Source organism: Homo sapiens, chromosome 5, assembly GCF_000001405.40.
Source record: "Homo sapiens chromosome 5, GRCh38.p14 Primary Assembly".
Taxonomy (NCBI): domain Eukaryota; kingdom Metazoa; phylum Chordata; class Mammalia; order Primates; family Hominidae; genus Homo; species Homo sapiens.
The window spans coordinates 19,802,114-19,822,943 of NC_000005.10; the positions used below are offsets into that span (position 1 = coordinate 19,802,114).

At 35.4% G+C, this 20,830-nt stretch overlaps 1 protein-coding gene across 20 annotated transcripts in view, besides 1 other annotated feature; it reads right to left on the reverse strand.

Annotated features, from left to right (window-relative positions):
* Positions 1–20,830, reverse strand: part of CDH18 (cadherin 18) — a 1,104,418-nt gene that overhangs the window by 330,818 nt on the left and 752,770 nt on the right. The gene's annotated exons all lie outside the window — the stretch shown is intronic.
* Positions 554–754: a silencer, noted in NCBI's record as "peak5177 fragment used in MPRA reporter construct". NCBI's record gives its function as "represses an SCP1 promoter by STARR-seq MPRAs in K562 erythroleukemia cells {active_cell/tissue: K562}" and the evidence as "EXISTENCE:reporter gene assay evidence [ECO:0000049][PMID:32103011]".

Consider the following 20,830-nt stretch of genomic DNA (forward strand, 5'->3'; position numbering starts at 1 on the left):
GCAAAATATATATGACTCCCTTATATCATTTTCTTTCTGCTTGGTGTTCTTTTATTTTAATTAAAAATAGTTTATGCTGCCTCAAATACTATAAATGTGTTTAATACTTCTCATAATTTTGATATAACAATAGGAAGAACTCAAGCATGCAAAGTAGCTAATGAACTGAACAAGCAATTACCGAACAGACAAGATGTTCCAGAACAAGTTTATGAATCATTACTTTTAGTTTTATATATATAACCTGACAAGTAAAATCTCTTTTTCAAAACAGGTTGGTGGACACTGGAGTAAGTTTAAAAAAGAAAGGTAGTGACCTCTAATTCTTCTGAGATGCTGCTTACTTTAAAATAAAATGAATTATATTTAATATATCTTGATGGCATAACAGATAAGATAAAATAACAAAGTAAAATTCAAATATGTTAAAATTTCCCAAAGAGTTGAGGCATTATACTAGGTATATGCTGGGCATATGTGTTTGTGTGTGTGTGCGTGTATGTGTGTCTTTCATGTACACCCATCTTACTTTTGAAAAATCAATACTCTATTGTGAAACTTTTGGTATGAAACCTTCAAGGGGCAGATTTTGCCTCTTCCTTACTTAAGCTGCCAGATCACTGGCTCATGACTTAGGCTGGGCCAAAAAATGCTCTTGTCTGGAGCTTTGAAATTTGACCAAGTGACACAAAGACCAAGGGAAAAATATTATTTACGGTTGTGTTATCAAGAACAAAGAAGTAGCAGCAATAATAGTTTAAGTCTGGTGACGGAAGTGTCATGGGCAATGGTCTGGCCCAATTGTTCCTAAGGTGTCAGCGTGGCTGCACTTTCAGCTATTCAGCCTCCCTCGGTTTCTGTTTTATTTTCACCCTTCCTCACTGGCCTTTCTGCCAATTGTGAAAACTATTCAAAATCCATCCAAAAAGTCACTTTTACGCTTAAATTACTCAGAGCCGGATTCTGTTACAGTTAAGAAGGTGATCTACTGAACCATGCCTTTGGGTACAAATACTCCACAAACTCGCACATTTATAAATACAGTGAACAATAACAATGCATGCTATCTGAAACCAAGATGAAGTGAGTCTGACTTAACTCTCCCAGTCTTCGTAACATTTTTACATATTAGAGTTAGGTATTAGATTCATAATGTCTCACACGCATATGAGTTTATGTGACCTTTACAGACTCATCGCTTTAGATCCATTTTGCAAATGTGGCTACATTTTCTTCCTAATTAGTCTAAACAAGTACTGTCTGATATTGTAACTGATAGCTTAGACACATATTTAAATTTAAAGTAATGAAATCTAAACATTCAGCCTCTCAGTTGCACTAGCCACATTTGAAATGTGCAGTAGTCACATGTAGCTAGTGACTATCGTAATAGTGCAGATGTACAACATAACCACAACTGCACAGTTATGTTGGCCAGCACTGGTCTAAACCCATTATGGTAATTCAGCCTTTTCCCAGCGAGTAATTCTGAAATCCAGACTTCAGTCATTTGGCACAGGTCGACTGTCATTCATCGAGGTAATCCAGTAAGACGCAAAGCAAGAATGTTTACATTTTCAATAAAATACATTTCTTATTTTACATTTTATTTTATATTTCTGATTAAGCTAGCTAATAAATTGTTTTCAACCAAAAGACGTTGATTGATAAACTGGTACCTAGAAATGATTGATAAACTAGTACCTACCTTAAAAGATAAATCCTAGGCCGGGCGCGGTGGCTCAAGTCTGTAATCCCAGCACTTTGGGAGGCCGAGGCGGGCAGATCACGAGGTCAGGAGATCAAGACCATCCTGGCCAACACGATGAAATCCCGTCTCTACTAAAAATACAAAAAATTAGCTGGGCGTGGTGGCGGGCGCCTGTAGTCCCAGCTACTCCGGAGGCTGAGGCAGGAGAATGGCGGGAATCCGGGAGGCGGAGCTTGCAGTGAGCGGAGATTACGCCACTGCACTCCAGCCTGGGCGACAGAGCAAGACTTTGTCTCAAAAAAAAAAAAAAAAGAAAAAATACGAAAAATTAGCCGGGCATGGCATCGGGCGCCTGTAGTCCCAGCTACTCAGGAGGCTGAGGCAAGAGAATGGCGTGAAGCCAGGAGGCAGAGCTTGCAGTGAGCCGAGATCGCACCACTGCACTCCAGCCTGGGGGACAGAGCGAGATTCCATCTCAAAAAAAAAAAAATAAATAAAATAAATAAATAAGTAAATCCTAAAATGTGTACTTGACAACTATTGGGCACTTAACATTCTCCCATACCTAGGTAATCCTTTCTATAATAAAATATAGAAACTGACTGAACTATATAGCCTGTAAATCTAGGTACTTGGACCTCACACAATTTGTTAATTTGCCACTTTCGAGGGTTGGTCAAAATCCCAATCAAATTATTTGTATCTCTGATTCTACCTGTGCCTACACCCTGTTCTACTCTTCAGGTATATAAGCTCAGAAATTACTTCCCATTATTAAGCTTGTTTCAGATGGTTTATTCCAGGGCCAGCAGGAAATTACTAACCAATATAAACATCATTAAAACAGATAAGAGATCAGGATGATTAGCATGTTGAGAAACATGTAAATTTTCACATGCCCTGGATTATTAATGAGGGCGATGACTAAAACAGTTGAAGAAGATACATACGTCTATTACAAATAAGTAAATAATCCATGGATTCCCATTAATTTATAGTCTTCTTCTATCACTAGTCAATATTCTTGAATATGGCTCAGCCTCTGAAGATTACTAAGTCTCTTCAGGAGAAAATAGCCACCTAGGCATAAAATCAGCTATGGAAAAAAATCATTATTATTATTATGATTTTTTTTTTTTGGACAGGGTGTGGCTCTGTCACCCAGGCTGAAGTCCCATGGCACACAATCTCAACTCACGGCAGCCTCTGCCTACAAGGTTCAAATGATCCTCCCACCTCAGCCTCCCAGGTAGCTGAGACTACAGGCGTACACCACCACACCTGGCTAATTTTTGTATTTATTGAGGAGATGGGATTTTGCCCTGTTTCTCAGGCTAGTCTCAAAACTCCTGGGCTCAAGAGATCCACCTGCCTCAGCCTCCCAAAGTATTGGGATCACAGACATGAGCCACCATTTCTAGCCGAAAATATATCATTCTTATATTATTCTCACTGGAGCATCAGATTTTGTTATCCACGTCCTCCTTGAAACTTTCTCCTTTGTCTACTATGATTTCACTTCCACTTGATTCTACGCCCTCTGCAGAATTTTAATTTCAAACTCTCTGTGAAGTCCCAGTTTTCTCTTTCCCCTTTGAAGTTTTTGTTCTTCAGAATTCCATTCTGAATAAGATATCCATATGTGTTTTCCTAACTCTTTCTCCATGGCTTCAATTACCATCTAAACTCCAGTGTCTCCTGATGCTACTCTTTAGCCTACATCTCTCTGTAATACTTTGCATTTTTCTATACCTGCCTATCTGCAGGCCCACAAAACACCCAGATGAAGCCTGTCCAAATAACTTCATCACTCTCATGCCCTTTACTCATCAGTCCTTTAATACAAGCCGGAGCCTGCCAACCACCTTCAAATAGTCCTGCAGCCCTTTTTTTTTCCCTTTCAACAGACACAAAGTCGTGTCAATTCTACATCTTAAAAAATATTTAATCAATCTATTTCCTTCTCTCAATTTCTTCTACAATTGTCAAATTCCTGTCTAGATTTGTGCAACAACAAAGCATCCTCTCTGATGCCAAGCTTGTTCTAAATGTCACAATTTCATTTACCACTTGGTAATCTCCCAGTGGATTCCCAAACACTTATGGATAAACCATATAGCTATTTTCTTCTTCGAATCTTCTACCAGGATTGTACTCAGTCACCCATCCACGTTCTCTGGCATTATTCTCAGGCCCACTTCTAACACATGCACTCTGCTCCAACCGTTACCCCTGTTTGTCCTTGAATGTGACACATTTAACCTTTGGATATGTAGTTCCTAAAATTTCACTGGAGTTCCTTCTTAACAAACACATTTTACCAGCCTCGTTTTCTACTAAGAGCAAAATATATTAGTGCAAGTTATTTTTCTTCCAAAGCCTTCCCTAAATTGATCTCAGTCAAATGCATCTCTCCTCGTGCACCACTGCCTGCGTGTTCAGCACTGCTGTTGCACTATCAGCACTGTGATACAATTATTTCTTCACAAAACTGCCTCTGCTTCTTGTCTTAATTTCACTAATCATTGCAGCGGCATATTTTATCAATGTAATCTCCAAATCTAACAAAGCAAATGGCATTTTGTTAGTTAAATTTATGTTGAAGCCACAACTTTTGAAGTGAAATAGGGTTTTAGCATTTGTCTTGTTCTTCCGCCTTATCAATGTACATAATAAAACTGGGCTCTAGGAGGCTGGATTTACCAATGTCAAAGATTTATATCGTAAAAACTGAAGAATACTAGTTCAATATTCCTTCTTCGGTTTCTAGATACTTAATACATGTTACAAGTATGTCTCAGGGGAGTTGTCCTGAATTCATAATGCATTATATAGCCCAAACTTGTATTGTCACTTCAATCATTATGTTAAAGTAAGCAAACTTTGCTCTGCTACCCTCTTTCCTATTGCCTATTAACTCTTTACAGAAATTAACCTACATTTGATTTTCTGAAAACCTTTCTTCCCTGAAACCAGTTGCTCACAGAGAAGCAAGACTGATTGTATAACGATACATATATGTCAATAAATACAGTAATTCATTGCTTAGTGTGTGTCATTAGCCTATTTCCTCACTGGGGAAACCCTATAAAGTGTAGTTAAACTAGATGGTACAGCCTACTACACACTAAGACTATATAATATAATACTCTCTATTGCTCATGGGCTAAAAACCTGTACAACTTGTTACTGTACTGGTTACTACAGACAATGTTAACACAATGGTGTGTGTATCTAAATATATCTAAACATAGAAAAGGTACAGTAGCTCTCTAGTTTAATTAGATCCCATTTGTCAAGAACACATGGATGCAGGGAGGGGAACAAAATATAGGGACCTGTTGGGATTTGTGGTGGGGGTAGAGAGAGCATTAGGGAAAATAGCTAATGTATGCTGGGCTTAATACCTAGGTGATGGGTTGAGAGGTGCAGTAAACCATGGCACATGTTTACCTATGTAACAAACCTGCAGATCCTGCACATAAAACTTTAAATAAAACTAAAAATTAAAAAAAGAAAAGGTACAGTAAAAATACAGTGTTATAATTTTATGGAACCATCATCATTGACTGAAACACCATTAATGTGGCACATGACTGTACATTGATACTACATTACTTTCCTTCTTAAAAGTAAACAATGTCTTCAGTTTCTCCAAATATTAAGTCCCCAATTATTTCCTTAAAGGGGCTTTGTAATGTCGAGGCTCTACTGAGAAGTGTAGTTTTCTCTCTCTCCTCACTACATCTTCTTTCCTAAACCACAGGTACCTGAGTCTTTGAGCCTTCACTGCACAAACTTCTTTCCATCTCAGGATTTTTACACATGTTAATTCTCCACCACGAACACTTATCCATTCCCAATGACCACACAAAACACATCAGCATTTTGGCCCTGATTGGCTCATTTTCATTTTTAGATATCAGCCTGATTATTCCTTCCCCAGAGAGTTCTTCCCTCATCCTCCATCTAGGTTTTACACTGTGTATGTAGTAAGTTTTTTTCACAATTCTCATCATTGTTTATACTTGAATATTTATTTGTGTGAATGTCAATTTAATGTTAACCTTTCCCAATCTATCTGCTTTTTTCACTACTATATAAACAATGTGTAACATAGTGACCGGAACACAGGTCACTGTGCATTTTAAATAAATGCATTTTGAGTAAATGAATATATCCTATATAGTATTCAACCTTTGTCAAAATAAACTCGATTATAGTCAAGCTAAAGCACCAAACAATAGAAAACAAGGAAAAGGCCATGACTAAGTTAGTATACTATTATATGTAATATTATTCTTTTGTTTTTAATGTAGAAAAATATTTTATAGCATATATTGTTTAATCTCTATGAATATAATGACAAGTATGTTGCATAAGAAACAAAGAATTCTAGCTGAAAATGATTGATTATATTTAACTTTGTAACTTTTGTAACGAATGCCTATAATTTTCTTTACAAAAGAAAAAATAAAACAAAACAACAACAACAAAAAAAAAACAAAAATAAAACTGAATGTATTTGAAGGCCCACTAGGCTCAACTTTTAAATTAAATGTCTTTGTTATGTGAGGTCCAGTGCAATTAAATGTTCATACATTCATTGGATAAAAATCAATAAAATAATAGAACATACCTTCTGAGAATAATGTAATACCAATGTTAAAAACAATTCATTTCCTTAAAGTAAATACCTGTTGAAATACATCAGTCTAAGCCTGGATGCGGTGGCTCACGCTTATAATCTCAGCACTTAGGGAGGCCGAGGTGGGTGAATCACCTGAGGTCAGGAGTTCTAGACCGGCCTGGCCAACATGGTGAAATCCTGTCTCTACTAAAAAAAAAATACAAAAATTAGCCAGGCATGGTGGCGCACACCTGTGATCCCAGCTACTTGGGAGTCTGAGGCAGAAGAATTGCTTGAACCCGGGAGGTGGAGCTTGTGGTGAGCCACGAGAGCGCCACTGCCACTCCAGCCTGGGTGACAAGAGCGAAACTCTGTCTCAAAAAAAAAAAAAAAAAAAAAAAGGAAAAGAAATAGAAAATCAGTCTACAATTAGTTATAAAGAAAAACAATTTTTGGAATATATATTTCTACATTATATTTGGGAATATTTTAGAATTTTATCTCTGTATCTGTGTGAAAGTATCAAAGCATGATAAAAGAATACTGTATGTATATCCAGAAAGGATATTAAAAATATTATTTAATACAAATCTTGCTTTTGTACAAAACAAAACCCGAGGAAAGATGTGGCCATAAAAATGGCAGACAAAGCTGATCTAGGCATTTCTCTTACTATGAACAATTAGAAATGGTATATAAAAATTCAAACTAAAATACAATACAAGCAATCTAGAAACAGTAAGAGATAATCCCCAGGGGAGAAAGAAGGGAGGGAGGACTTAGGGACATGGAGGCCATTCCCAACTGTCAGATAGCCCAGTGCCTCTGGGGAAAATTAACTAAGTACACGCTCTAGGCACCAATAATTTGATTTTTACACCTCCTGAAGACTAGAAAAAATAGACTTTCATTCTCCTTAAGATATAGAATTAGAATGGAGCTGTCTGAAGAAAGCCAAAACACTTAAAATCAACTCCCTGAAATTAATGGGTGCAGCACAGCAACAGGGCACATGTATACATATGTAACTAACCTGCACATTGTGCACATGTACCCTAAAACTTAAAGTATAATAAAAAAAAATTAGACTATATACTCACCAGCTTTAAAAAGTAGCAAAGAATTTTGTGGTTATTAGGAGTTCTTGGTAAAAAAAGTTTCATATGAGAAATTGAAACTCAAACCTACAGCCCAGATAAAAGGAAATATATGTTTTATATTTTAGTGTTGTTGTTGTTTACATTAAGTGTATACATAAGAATCAGTAGTTAAGAATTAAATCCATATTTATGAAACCATTTGTTGACAGCAGTTAAAAAGATAAGTGGCTCTCTATGAATATTTCTCAAGTTAAAGTTTAAAGGGATTCCACTAAGAACCCCATTTTTTCCCATCATAAACCACTGGAGACCAGTGAATATAAAAATGTTAAAGATGTACCAGGATCAAATCTCCACTTCCAATAGTGAATAGACAAAGGAAATATGAGAATGGGAACATCGAGCACACACACGGAAAATAGAAAACTTGAAAAAGACTGTTATTTATGTGGTTTGGAAGAATTGAAGCAAGAAAAACTAGATGTCAAAATGAGGCCTGGTGAGGTGGCTCCTGCCTGTAATCCCAGCACTTTGGGATGCCGAGGTGAGCGGATCACTTGAGGTCAGGAGTTTGAGACCAGCCTGGCCAACATGGTGAAACCCCATCTCTACTAAAAATACAAAAATTAGCCAGACATGATGGCGCACACCTGTAACCCCAGCTACTCGGGAGGACTGAGGCATGAGAATCACTTGAACTTGGGAGGTGGAGGTTTCAGTGACCCAAGATCACACCACTGCACCTCAGCCTGGGTGACAGAGTGAGACTCCGTCTCAAAAAAAATAAAATAAAAATAAAATAAAATAGGAGAAAATAAGGCAAAAGGAAAGAGACATTTTAAGACAAATTCAAGTTAATATTCATACTTAATTCGAAGAGCATAGGATAATGATTTAATTTAGTTCAAGACAGCATTAATACATTAGAGATAAAACTTAAGAAATTATATCAATTAGAAGTTTTAGAATGAAACGAGGATGAAACAAGTTCAAATAATTGTTCAAATAAACAAGAACAAAGCAAATCAATATATTTGATTAAGTAAATATATTTGATTAAGTAATTAAGTAAATATAATATACTTAATTATATTTTTCTAATTAGGTGTAAAAATCTTAATCAATTAAAAAGTACTGATATTAGATTGCCTTGGGCTCAATAGTGCATATGAAAAAAGCATATGTTGGCTGGGCACAGTGGCTCACACTTGTAATCCTAGCACTTTGAGACTCTGAGGCTGTTGGATCACTTGAGGTCAGGAGTTCAAGACTAGCCTGGCCAAACTGGTGAAACCTCGTCTCCACTAAAAACACAAAAATTAGCCAGGTATGGTGGCACATGCCTGTAATCCCAGCTACTTGGGAGGCTGAGGCAGGAGAATTGCTTGAACCCAGGAGGTGAAAGTTGCAGCGAGCTGAGATCCTGACACTGCACTCCAGCCTGGATGACAGAAAAAGACTCTGTCTCAAAAAGGAAAGGAAAGGAAAGGGAAAGGGAAAGGAAAAGGGAAGGGAGAAAGAGAAAAAGAAAGAAAGAAAGAAAGAAAGAAAGAAAGAAAGAAAGAAAGAAAGAAAGAAAGAAAGAAAGAAAGAAAGAAAGAAAGAAGGAGAGAAAGAAAGAGAAGAAAGAGGGAGAGAAAGAAGGAAGGAAGGAAGGAAGGAAAGAAAAGAAAGAGATAAAGAAAGAAGCATATGTTAAAGCTCTGAACCCCAATACTTCAAAATGTGATCTTATTAAGAGATAGGGTCTTTACAGGGCTAATCAATGTAAGGTAGGGTCATTAAGGCAGTCATTAATCCAACATCAGTGATGTTCTTATAAAATGGAGGGCTTTGGACACTAGATACACATACAGGAAAAAAACTGTGTGAACCTGAGATGGCTGTCTAGGAGAGAGACCTAGAACAGATCTTTCCCTTCGAAGGAACCAATCCTGCTCACCTCATGATTTCAGACTTCCAGCTTCCCAAACCGTGAGACAATAATAATATGCTGTTTAAGTCACCCAGTTTGTGCTACTTTGTTACGGCAGCTCTAGGAAATAAATACACAGACCAAAAAATATAAAAAGAAAAAAATTATCTGAGCCAAGGTATATTAGCCAATCCAGAGAACACAAGGGACATAGTGGTAATCCTGAAATAAGCCTAAGAGAAAGAAAGACAATTTAAATGAAATTATAGCAGGCTTATCAGCAACAATAGAATCCAGTATACAATATATCTTCAACAAAACAATAGTGGAAAAATTCATCCTAGAATCCTTCACACACACAGAAAAAAATGGTAATTCAACAAAGAAGAAAAAAATGACCATTCAAGATCAAATACAAAAATAAATCAGTAAAGGTTCTACATAAACAATAAGGAAATCAAACTGGGAGGAAGAAGGGGATAGAAGCAATCAACAACAAAGATATTGATAAATGTGTGTAAGTCTAAGCAAGAGTGAATGTTTAAATGATTTTAGCAATAAGGACCCATCTGGAAAGTACTTTATAAAACAAAGAAACAAAATGCTAGACAAAAATAATGTGAACAAAGAGAAAGTAATTAGTGTTTAAATATCCTAAGGTTTTTGTATTGTTTAGAACTGTAAAGGTATCAACTTTAAACTTTATGAAGTATATCTGTTAAAAATAAATAGAGTACAGTCATAGTTCAGTAAAAAGCAAATTGAAGCCAGGAAGAAGAAACTGGATATAGAAGCAGAGAGAAGCAAACAAAGTGTTAAATATGTTAGAAATGTAAGTATATACTTTATACATTAATACTAATAACAATAATTATTATTATTTGGAGGTTTAAAAATAACTTGGTGTATTATGAAAGTGCATGTAGAACGTAGAAAACAAAATATGTAACTGAAATTTGAACATTCTATGTCGTTGTTGGAGAAGTAGAAGGAGATATTATGTTTTGACATGGAAGTAATAAATACATGCAAAAAATTAAGAGCAATCACAATTGCAAAAAGCATAAAACATAAAACCACCAAACAGATAGAAACTCCAGTAGACGTCATTACAGGAGAACAAAAGAACAACAAACAAAACAAGAAACAACCTAATCAACAAAAATTTGTTAAGCAGAAAAAACAAAATAAATCTGTAATGGGTCCAAATGCATTAAAAATTACAGTAGAAACGCTTTTACACTGTTGGTGGGAGTGTAAATTAGCTCAAACATTGTGGAAAACAGTGTGGCGATTCCTCAAGGATCTAGAACCAGAAATAGCATTCCCAAAGGATTATAAATCATTCTACTATAAAGACACAAGTACATGTATGTTTATTGCAGCACTATTCACAATAACAAAAGACTTGGAACTAACCCAAATGCCCATCAATGATAAACTGGATAAAGAAAATGTGGCACATATACGTCATGGAATAATATGCAGCCATGAAAAAGGATGACTTCATTTCCTTTACAGAGACATGGATGAAGCTGGAAACCATCATTCTCAGGAAACTAACACAGGAACAGAAAACCAAACACCGCATGTTCCCACTCATAAGTGGGAATTGAACAATGAGAACACATGGACACAAGGACGGGAACATCACACACTGGGGCCTGTTGACGGGTGGGGGACTGGGGGAGTGATAGCATTAGGAGAAATATCTAATGTAGATGATGGGTTGATGGGTGCAGCAAACCACAATGGCATGTGTATATTTACGTAACAAACCTGCATGTTCTGCACATGTAACCCAGAACTTAAAGTATAATAAAAAAAATTACAATAGGCACAATGGAATAAAACCATTGTTTAAAAAAAGAATTGTCAGATTCTATAAAAAAACAGAAAGTTAAAACTCATTTCTATGTGGATAAGAAAAGAAGATAAATATGATATATATCATTATAATGATATAATTGCTTGGAGAAAATATTTAAGAGCATTTTTACCAAGAGAATCTTTTTATCAGAATTTTAATATCTCATTAGAGAGACTCTTCAGAAAAAAGACATTAGAACTATATATTATTTAATGATAAACTAAATCATTTATCTGCAACCTGTAATTCTGAACTAATAACTATTTTGGAACTTAACTTCAGAAAGGGAAATTACAAAATTACAAGAATATTGACACTTGTAGTCATAGTAAACAATTTTATCATCAATTCCACAAAGGGAAAGCCAGGATATTTAAACACATTTGAATTGAGAGTGTCATAAACCATTAAAATACACTGAATATACATATTTTGAATATTTAATTCTATTTCAAAACTACATTGTTATGATAATTATTGACACTAATGTGCCAAAACAGAATTTTCATATTATCAAATGTGGAAAAATCTATGATTTTTTTGGAAGCTTTTTTTTGGAAGCTTTCACTTACATGTGTGTTAAGTCTATTGAGAACAAATAAAATAAGCCAAAATAAGTCAAAACCAGCTTCTGGTAGTATAACCAGAAGTATTATCCAGAAGACGTAACAACCTTAGGGATGAGGAGGATAGGAGAATATTGTCTTTTTGTGTGTGTGCAGATTTTAAAAAAAATAAATTTAATATGGGAGAAGAAAGAGGCTCTTTTGCTAGCATGACATTAAAATAATTTAAAATAAATAAAGTCTCAATAGACTATTGAGACTTTATTTATGTTTCAAAAATTATTTTATTATTAAAGTAATATAACAAATGAACTTTTATTGTAAAAATACCCAATAATATGAGCAAATCAAATGTTTCCCTTGTTGCTTAACGAATATTACTCCCACACTCACAGAAACAATAGATAATACTATTGGTTTTGGTTTGGCCTTCCAGGCATGAATTATGTCCTAAAAAAAAACACTCTTGCATATGCACACAAATTGCATATACATACAAATGCAATATACACATAATTTCTCAACCCTGGCACTATTGCAATTTTGGACTGGATGATTATTTGTTGGTGGCTGGTTGTTCTATGTGTTATAGAATATTTAGCAGGGCTCTACAAACTACATACCAGGAGCACTACACCTATAGTCATTTAAAACCAAATCCCAGGAGGGCGTTAAAACTTTCACGAACCCTATACCCTTTTGCACTTGTAGGTCCTTTTATCAATTAAAAAATAAATTTGATTTACAAAGAAAACTGATAGAAACAATAATAGAATGCAGGTTGAATAATACTCATTTTCATTTTTTATTCTGATAAAAATGTATTAAAACATTTTCCTAGGCCAATTGTAACTAATAGACAAGCCCTGGAAAAAAAAATGTTTCCAAATATTGCCAAATGCCCTCTAGCATCAAAGTCACCTCTGGTTTAGCAAAATTGTTACACACACACACACACACACACACACACATGGACACACACACATAGATTAGTATGTTTGTATGATAATATAAAGTTCACAATGTGAATAAATATATACACTGTGCCCATAATGTGTATTGCTGAACTTTAAAAATTTGTCAGTGTAGACTTAGGAAATGCTTTCATTAAACATTTGCTGAATTATTCAAATAAAATATCACTTATTCTCTAAAAACATAATTAACCTTAATTAAATCTGATTTATTTAAAAAACTCCTAAGTTACTACAAGCTGAATATAATATACTCAAATAAAATTCATTTTCTCTGCATCCAGTTTGTTGGAGGACTGTATCTAAATAGTTGTTTTCATGATGACTACTGGAAAAGTTATATATTCACGTAGAATTGTGTGCTATAATTAATTTTACATGACACCATGTCATCATGTTGTCATTTGTATAAGATTCAGATGTCACGTTTTGATATAAAAGCTTTCCCATTTCAAGGAAGCTATGAAAACATGTTTATATAGTTATCATCTTGACAATATTGGATGACAATTGAGACCTTTTCTTGTTGTACATTTAATTTTTAATTCAGAGTTTATGATGACATAAAAGCTATCTTTTTTCTAAAAAGCTTGAAACTTTCTATTTCCTTTTACATGATTTATTCTCTCTTTAACCTAAAATTCATTTCTTTAATTTGAAAATACATATTAAATATCTTCATATTAAAAAAAAATTGAAGGTTGTCTTCTAAGTAATGAAAAATATAGAATAAGGTCAGTGATAGTGATGATGAGAGACGTATTTTATGCCCTCTATATTGCAAAGTGATTTTCATTAAGGAACTGGATATCTCAATTTTTTTGACACCTCCGTAACTAATCCTATGAACACGAAGAGGCCTCTTAACTGTTTTGAGCATCGCTCCTTTCTATCACTTGAGGAATTCAGCAAAATAGTTTCTCAGTTTTTTTATTTCACTGGAACTTTTTCCTTACCCTCTGTTTCTTGTAGTTGTTTTTGTTTAATAAAGAAATCTACACCTATTTATTCACACATGATAGGACACAGGTAAACAGATGAGTGAGTGGGAGAATTTTAGTAACCAAGTTCTTAACAGATGTAAGCAAAATCTTCAACATACGATTTATATCTAGAGAAAATTCTAACAGTTATAAACAGATACACCATAAATACAGTGAAGATAGAGAACGTCATTCTTTTGTTTATTCAGAAAACAATGTTTTTATTAACTTTTATTAATGAACTATTTTTAATGTCAATATAGCCAAGATTCTAAGGCAACATTGGTAATAGATTAGAATATTTTAGCCTAAACAATATGGCACACTATTTGGTCTCTTATCTATTCTTTTTAATTTTTATTCCTATCCTCTTTAATGGTCAAATAGTGCAATGTGGACAAGATCCACTTACAAATACTTGGAGATAAACATAGAGTTTCTTAATTTTCTTAAGAAAGACTGTTTAGTCAGTTAAAAACATCATCAATGGTGTTTTTAAAATGAAAATAATATGCATTTATGGAGCACAACATCTAGCTAATCACAAGGACTTAGCACTTGAAATTTATGAAGCATATTGCCAGCAGCTTTGCTTTAGCAAAACAGACATGATTTTAAATGTCTCCTTAGTTAAATTATATCAATTGCAGATGTTTAAATATTCCTAACATATTACATTAATAATCCACACACTTCACAATAACAACCTTCACCTCTAGAATATTTCATTGGTAAATATGAAACATAAATCCAATCTAGTCAATAGTTAATGACTAAAAATAGGAAGTCAGATGTATTTTAAATTATAATTTCTAGTCCCTAACATAAGCAATTTCACTGCTGCATCATTCTTTTTTATTTAATAAAAAAAATTTAATACAGGTGTTAAACCGAAGATAAAAAGGGCTAAGGAATTCATTTTTCTCAACTGCTATTAACTCTGAAAACCAGTACCCTCATGGCTTAGAAAGTCCTAGGTCAAACAAAATATAATTTCAGTCAAAAGAGTGCAAAGAATTACTATATTAAAATAATAATTTTATTAAACAAAACATCATGAACAAAGTTAAAAGACAAATGTCAACTGTGAAAAATTATTAATAACTTTTATCACTGACAAAGAACTACTGCACCTATTATGTAAAGAATTAATAGGGCTGATAAGTTAAACAGACTAGAAAAATAATGTAAAATAAAGGCCATAAATAGGCAGTTAATAAAAAAGAAATAATTACATCTCCTCAAAATTGGAAAACATCATCAATTTTACTCATAATACAAGAAATATAAATTTAAAGTACACGGGGATATCTTTTTTTCACCCATCATGTTTGCATAATTCCAAGTTTTAAAAACAACCCTATGTGTTGTTATCTCTGTAAAGAAACAAACACTCTTACACATCATTGGCAAAGGGAGATACTGCAACATCTATGGAGGAGGCTCTAGTGATAGCTATCAAAATTAAACTTACTTATCTTTGAATCGGAATCTCACTTACAGAAATCTCTCCTACAGATATACCAATATGTGTGCTACATGATATGTGTACAAGGACATTCATAACATTATTACATGTAATAGCAAAAAAGTAACAAGAGACAATAAATACTCATTAAGTTAATAATGGGAGAGGGGTGAGTACATCAGTGAAAGTAGTGAGGTAGAGACTTCCAAAAACTCATCAATAAAAGTACTGATTAATAAGACAGAATTTGTTTAATCATTTTAAATAATCACTGCAATCATTAATATGGCTATCAAAGTTTATAGTTCATGGCAAACTTTCCAGTGAATTACAACATTTGATCATTCTACTAGGCAGGCACTATGACAGGTACTGTGTGTATAAAGATACAATAATTCCAGAACCTGATCCCAAGACATGTATGATATATTTTTTTGAGGTAGACTTCTTACCCAGGAGCTCAAAAACATTTCCTGTGAATGGTCAATACTGAATATTTTTGAATTTGTGAGTCCTACTCCCTCTGTTGCAACTACTCAGTTCTGCCATTATGGCATGAAATTAGCCATAGATAATACATAAATAAATTTGTGTGTCTATGTCCCCATAACATGTTATTTATGGACTCTAAAATATAAATTTTATATAAATTCCAGGTATCACAAAATATTATTTTCTTTCCATTTTTTTCCCAAAATTTAAAAAGGAAACAGAATTGTATGTAGGCAATACAAAAACAGACAGTGGGCTAGCTTTGACACACAGACTGTAGCTTAACTGAACCCTGATCTAAACCATAAACCAAACTTTATAATATACTTCAATTCGTAATCAAAATGTCAACAGTATTTTTCAATTTTACAAAGATGCAAGGAATTAAAGAGACTTAACAATTGTAATACAGGAAGTAAATGGATGAGTTATAACTCAAGCTTAGCTCCTCACTCAGTAATTATTATTATCTCATGAAGACAAGAAGTCTATTATAATGAGCATTATGATGTATGACATGAATTGTAGGATGTGTGTAATATCTTAAGTAAAATTATACTCTTATTTACAACATGATTCATTCAGCACTATTCAACTTTTGAAAAATGAAAAATAGACTAACTAGTCTGTTAGTTTTTACACGATTTTTTAAAAAGAACGAACAAATTGTTTTAAAATTATAGTGACTAATTATTATATACAGTCGTGCTTCATTTAAGGATGGAAATACATTCTGAGAAGTGCATCGTTAAGCAATTCTGTGTTTTTGTGAACATCACAGGGTATACTTACACAAACCGAGATGCAATAGCCACACAGGCACACAGGCTATATGGTGCAGCCTATTGCTCCTAGGCTAGAAACCTGTATAGCATGTTACTGTACTGAATACCATAGATAATTGTAACACAATAATAAGTATATGCATATCTAAACATAAAAACAGTACAATATAATATGCACTATAGTCCATCATATATTCTTTCCATAGTTGACTGAAATGTCATTATGTGGCACATGACTATAATTTGTTTCAGGAGAAAATCAGTTACTTTTTACTAAATTTGCTACTATTATTTTCTTATCGTAATCCTTCAATTATTTTAAAAGATCTTTAACAAGTAATCAGATCTATGAGATATATCCCTCCGCTAGTTTGGATACTTGAACTCTAATGGCAATTACATGTTGGAAAAAAATGTGACTTATGGATTATCATATATATTTATATAAGTAATACATGTATATATACATATATGTGTTTATACCTCTGTATACAATTTATCATTTATTATTACAAAGTTCTCTAAAATCATGGCTTTAGCCACATGTATATATATTAGTAAAGAATAATATATATTGATTAATGTCAACAGAATTAATTATATCATAATAAATCTAATCATTGAGAAAATGTTTAAAAATTATTATAAGAAACATAAGGGAAGCTAGTACATATCAAAATACTTGGGCTTGAACTCTTATTAAAAATTTAGTAAAGTAGAATAAGATGGCCAACTAGACACAGCCAGGAGATGTCTCTTCCAACAAGAGAAGCTAAAATATCGAGTAAACCATCACATTCTGAACAGATCTTTTGAGAGAAAACACTCAAAGTCAATGGAGAAGTGATGAAGACACCGAGGGTGAATAGGGACAAAGCTAGGAAGCCTATATGGAGTCTCCAAGTGTCAAGAATGGCTCCCAGTTCTGACCAGGTCCTAAGGAAGGGGTGAGTGAAGGAACTGTGAGGCAGCACACTCGCATTGTAGGTGGGATCCCAGCTACAAGAGATCCCATGAACCCCACAGATATTTGAATTGGCAAGGGGAACTTCCCAGAGAGGAGGCAGAGGCTTGCACAGAGCCCAAAAGGTTTTGTGTGGGAGGCAGCTGCTGCAAAACACAACCATAAGTGTCCATCCCCCAAGGCTCTCCATCTTGCTCTGAGTGGCTCTGGCTCCTGTGAATGGCCAGGTTGGGAGAACAGGGCTGCCTTTCCCACAGGACCATGGTGCATCTGATTTACAAAACCCCTTTTTAGCTGGCCCCTCCCGAGGTCCCTGCCTGGCCACTCCCATAAGAGGAGGCACACAGCACAGCCTCCATTGCCCCAGCTGAGTGTTTTTCCAGTGGCCTGAGAGCAGTTTGCCCCTCCCCAGTAGAGTCAGGGGTCCCAGAGGACAAAGCTTTCAAAGCTTTGGGCTTAGTCCCAACCCTCCAGGGTTTGAGCAAAACACCCAGGAGTATTGAGGTAAGATCTGGGACTTGTGCTCAAGTTGGGGATGAGCCCCTACTCTCAGAACATTGAAACCAATGTCTGATGTATGGGTTTGTGTGCTGGCATGGGAGTTGGTCATCCCTCTCTCCACAAAACCAGACAAGAAAGAGTGTAGCAAGTTGGCCAGCTGCAATTTCTCCCTAAGGCAGCCCTAGAGCCCAGAACACCCAGAGTGACCTAGCAATCCGGGCACAGAAGGTTTGGCACAAAACTAGCTGTTCAGACCTGCTCCTGGAGTAGACAACAGAGGGAGAAACCAACAGGGGAGTGACAGCTGGGCAGTTCCCACAGCCATCTGTTTGGCAAAATATCCTGGGCCATAGGTGCCACAACAGCTACACACCAATGGCACCACTTCCTTGTCTAGGGATCCTCCACCCTAGGCCCACCGCATTAACAGACCACTTGTAGACATACCCCACAACCCACTTTGACTCTGCCAAACTCAGAGGACCAAAAGGTCCCCAGTGAATGGCATGTCCCCTGGTGGACTAACCTTTGACTCAAGTAGCCCCTGTGAGAGAGTGCAGCCTGCCAGGGACCTGTTTGAGCCTAAAGAAATGGGGACCTAGCACCAGTATTTGGAAGGGGTTCCCCCAAGGCCCAGGAATGGAGTTGGTGAGGGTCTCATCTACTGGATCTCACCCTGAATTGTACCACCAAATAAAAATAAATTTCTCTACCTGGATCACCTGTGAAACCCAAGGCAGGAAGCCAGCTACAACTAAGGAACCCATACAGAGCCTTGGACTCTAAAAGCACAAAGAAACACAACCAATCCATAATACATAACATTCATCTCAATCAAACACACAACAGGAAAAAAAATAAAAATAAAACCAAAAAGCTTCATCGCAATAACAGAAACTTCAAAAAAATAATGAAACGTTACTCATCTCAGATGAGAAGACATTGGCACAAAAACTCCATTAATTTAATCTTTGGAGTACTCTCTTACCTACGAAGACTACACTAGCTCCCCGGCAATGGATTCTAAGCAGATTGAGATGACAGAAGTGACAGACATAGGATTCAGAGTTTGGATGGCAAGGAAGCTCAACAAGATCCAAGAGAAAGTTGAAACCCAATCCAAAGAAGCCAGTACAATGATCCTAGAGTGCAACAATGACGTAGCCATTTTTAGAAAGAAACATACTTGAACTTCTGGCATTGAAAAAGGTACTACAGGGAATTTCAAAACAAGTTTGAAGCCACAACAATAGACTAGACCAAGCTTAGAAAAGAATTTTTGAGCTCAGAGACTGGTCCTTCAAATCAACCCAGTTAACCAAAAAACAAAAAACAAAAAAAAAAAAAAGGAAAAAGAATTTTTAAAATGAACAATAACTTTGAGAAACATGTGATTATGTAAAGAGAACAAACCCACAATTCCTGAGAGATGGAGAGACAGTAAGCAACTTGGAAAACATATTTGAGGATATAGTCAACAGAAATTTTCCCAATCTTGCTAGAGAGGTAGACAAGCAAACGTAAAATAAAATCTAGAAAATCTCTGTAAGACACTATACAAGATGACTACCCACAAGACACATAGTCATCAGGGTTTCCAAGGTCAAAGTGAAAGAAAAAATCTTAAAGGAAGCTAGAGAAAAGTGTCAAATCACTTACAAAGGGAACCCCATCAGGCTAACAGTGGACTTCTCAGCAGAAACCTTACAAGCCTGAAGAGATCAGGGCCCTATTTTCAGCATCCTTAAAGAAAATTAATTCCAAACAAGAATTTCATATCCCAGCAAATTAAGCTTCATAAGTAAAGAAGAAAAAAATCTTTTCTCGACAAGCAACTGCTATGGGAATTTCCTACCACTAGACCAGCCTTACAAGAAATCCTGAAGAGAGTTCTAAATATCAAGACAAAATAATGATACCTGCTTCCACAAAGACACACTTAAGTACTTAGTGACAGACCCTTAAAAGTAACTATACAATTGAGACTACAATATAAACAGCTAACAACATCACAACCGGATCAAAACTTCACCTTGAATGTAATATCAAAATTAAACTTGAATGTAGGTGCTCTAAACACTCTCACTTAAAAGACACAGAGTGGCAATTTGGATGAATAACCAAGACCATCCATCTTTTGGCTTCAAAAGGTCCAGCTCACATGTAATGACACCCATAGGATCAAAGTAAAGGGATAGAGAAAAATCTGTCATGTAAATGGAAACAAGAGGAGGCGTTGTTATTCTTAAATCAGACAAAGCAGATTAAACCAACAACAATAAGAAAGGACAAAAAGGGGCATTACATAATCATAAAAGGTTCAATTCTATCTGGGGAAATTCAGCCAGATATCAGGCAAAACTCACCCCCGATATTTCACGTAGGTTCTTTTCTATTTTCCCTAAGTGTCAGCCAGTTTGAGAAATAAAGGGACAGAGTAAAAAAGAGAGAAATTTTAAAGCTGGGCATCCGGGGCAGACATCACATGTCAGTAGGTTCCGTGATGCCCCACAAGCCGCAAAACCAGCAAGTTTTTATTAGTGATTTTCAAAGGGGAGGGAGTGTACGAATAGGGTGTGGGTCACAGAGAGCATGTGCTTCACAAGGTAATAGAATATCACAAGGCAAATGGAGGCAGGGCGAGATCACAGGACCACAGGACTGGGGCGAAATTAAAATTGGTAATGAAGTTTCGGGCACGCATTGTCATTGATAACATTTTATCAGGAGACAGGATTTGAGAGGAGGCAACTGGTCTGACCAAAAATTTATTAGGCGGGAATTTTCTTGTCCTAATAAGCCTGGGAGTGCTATGGGAGACTGGGGCTTATTTCATCCCTACAGCTCGACCATAAAAGACAGCCACACCCA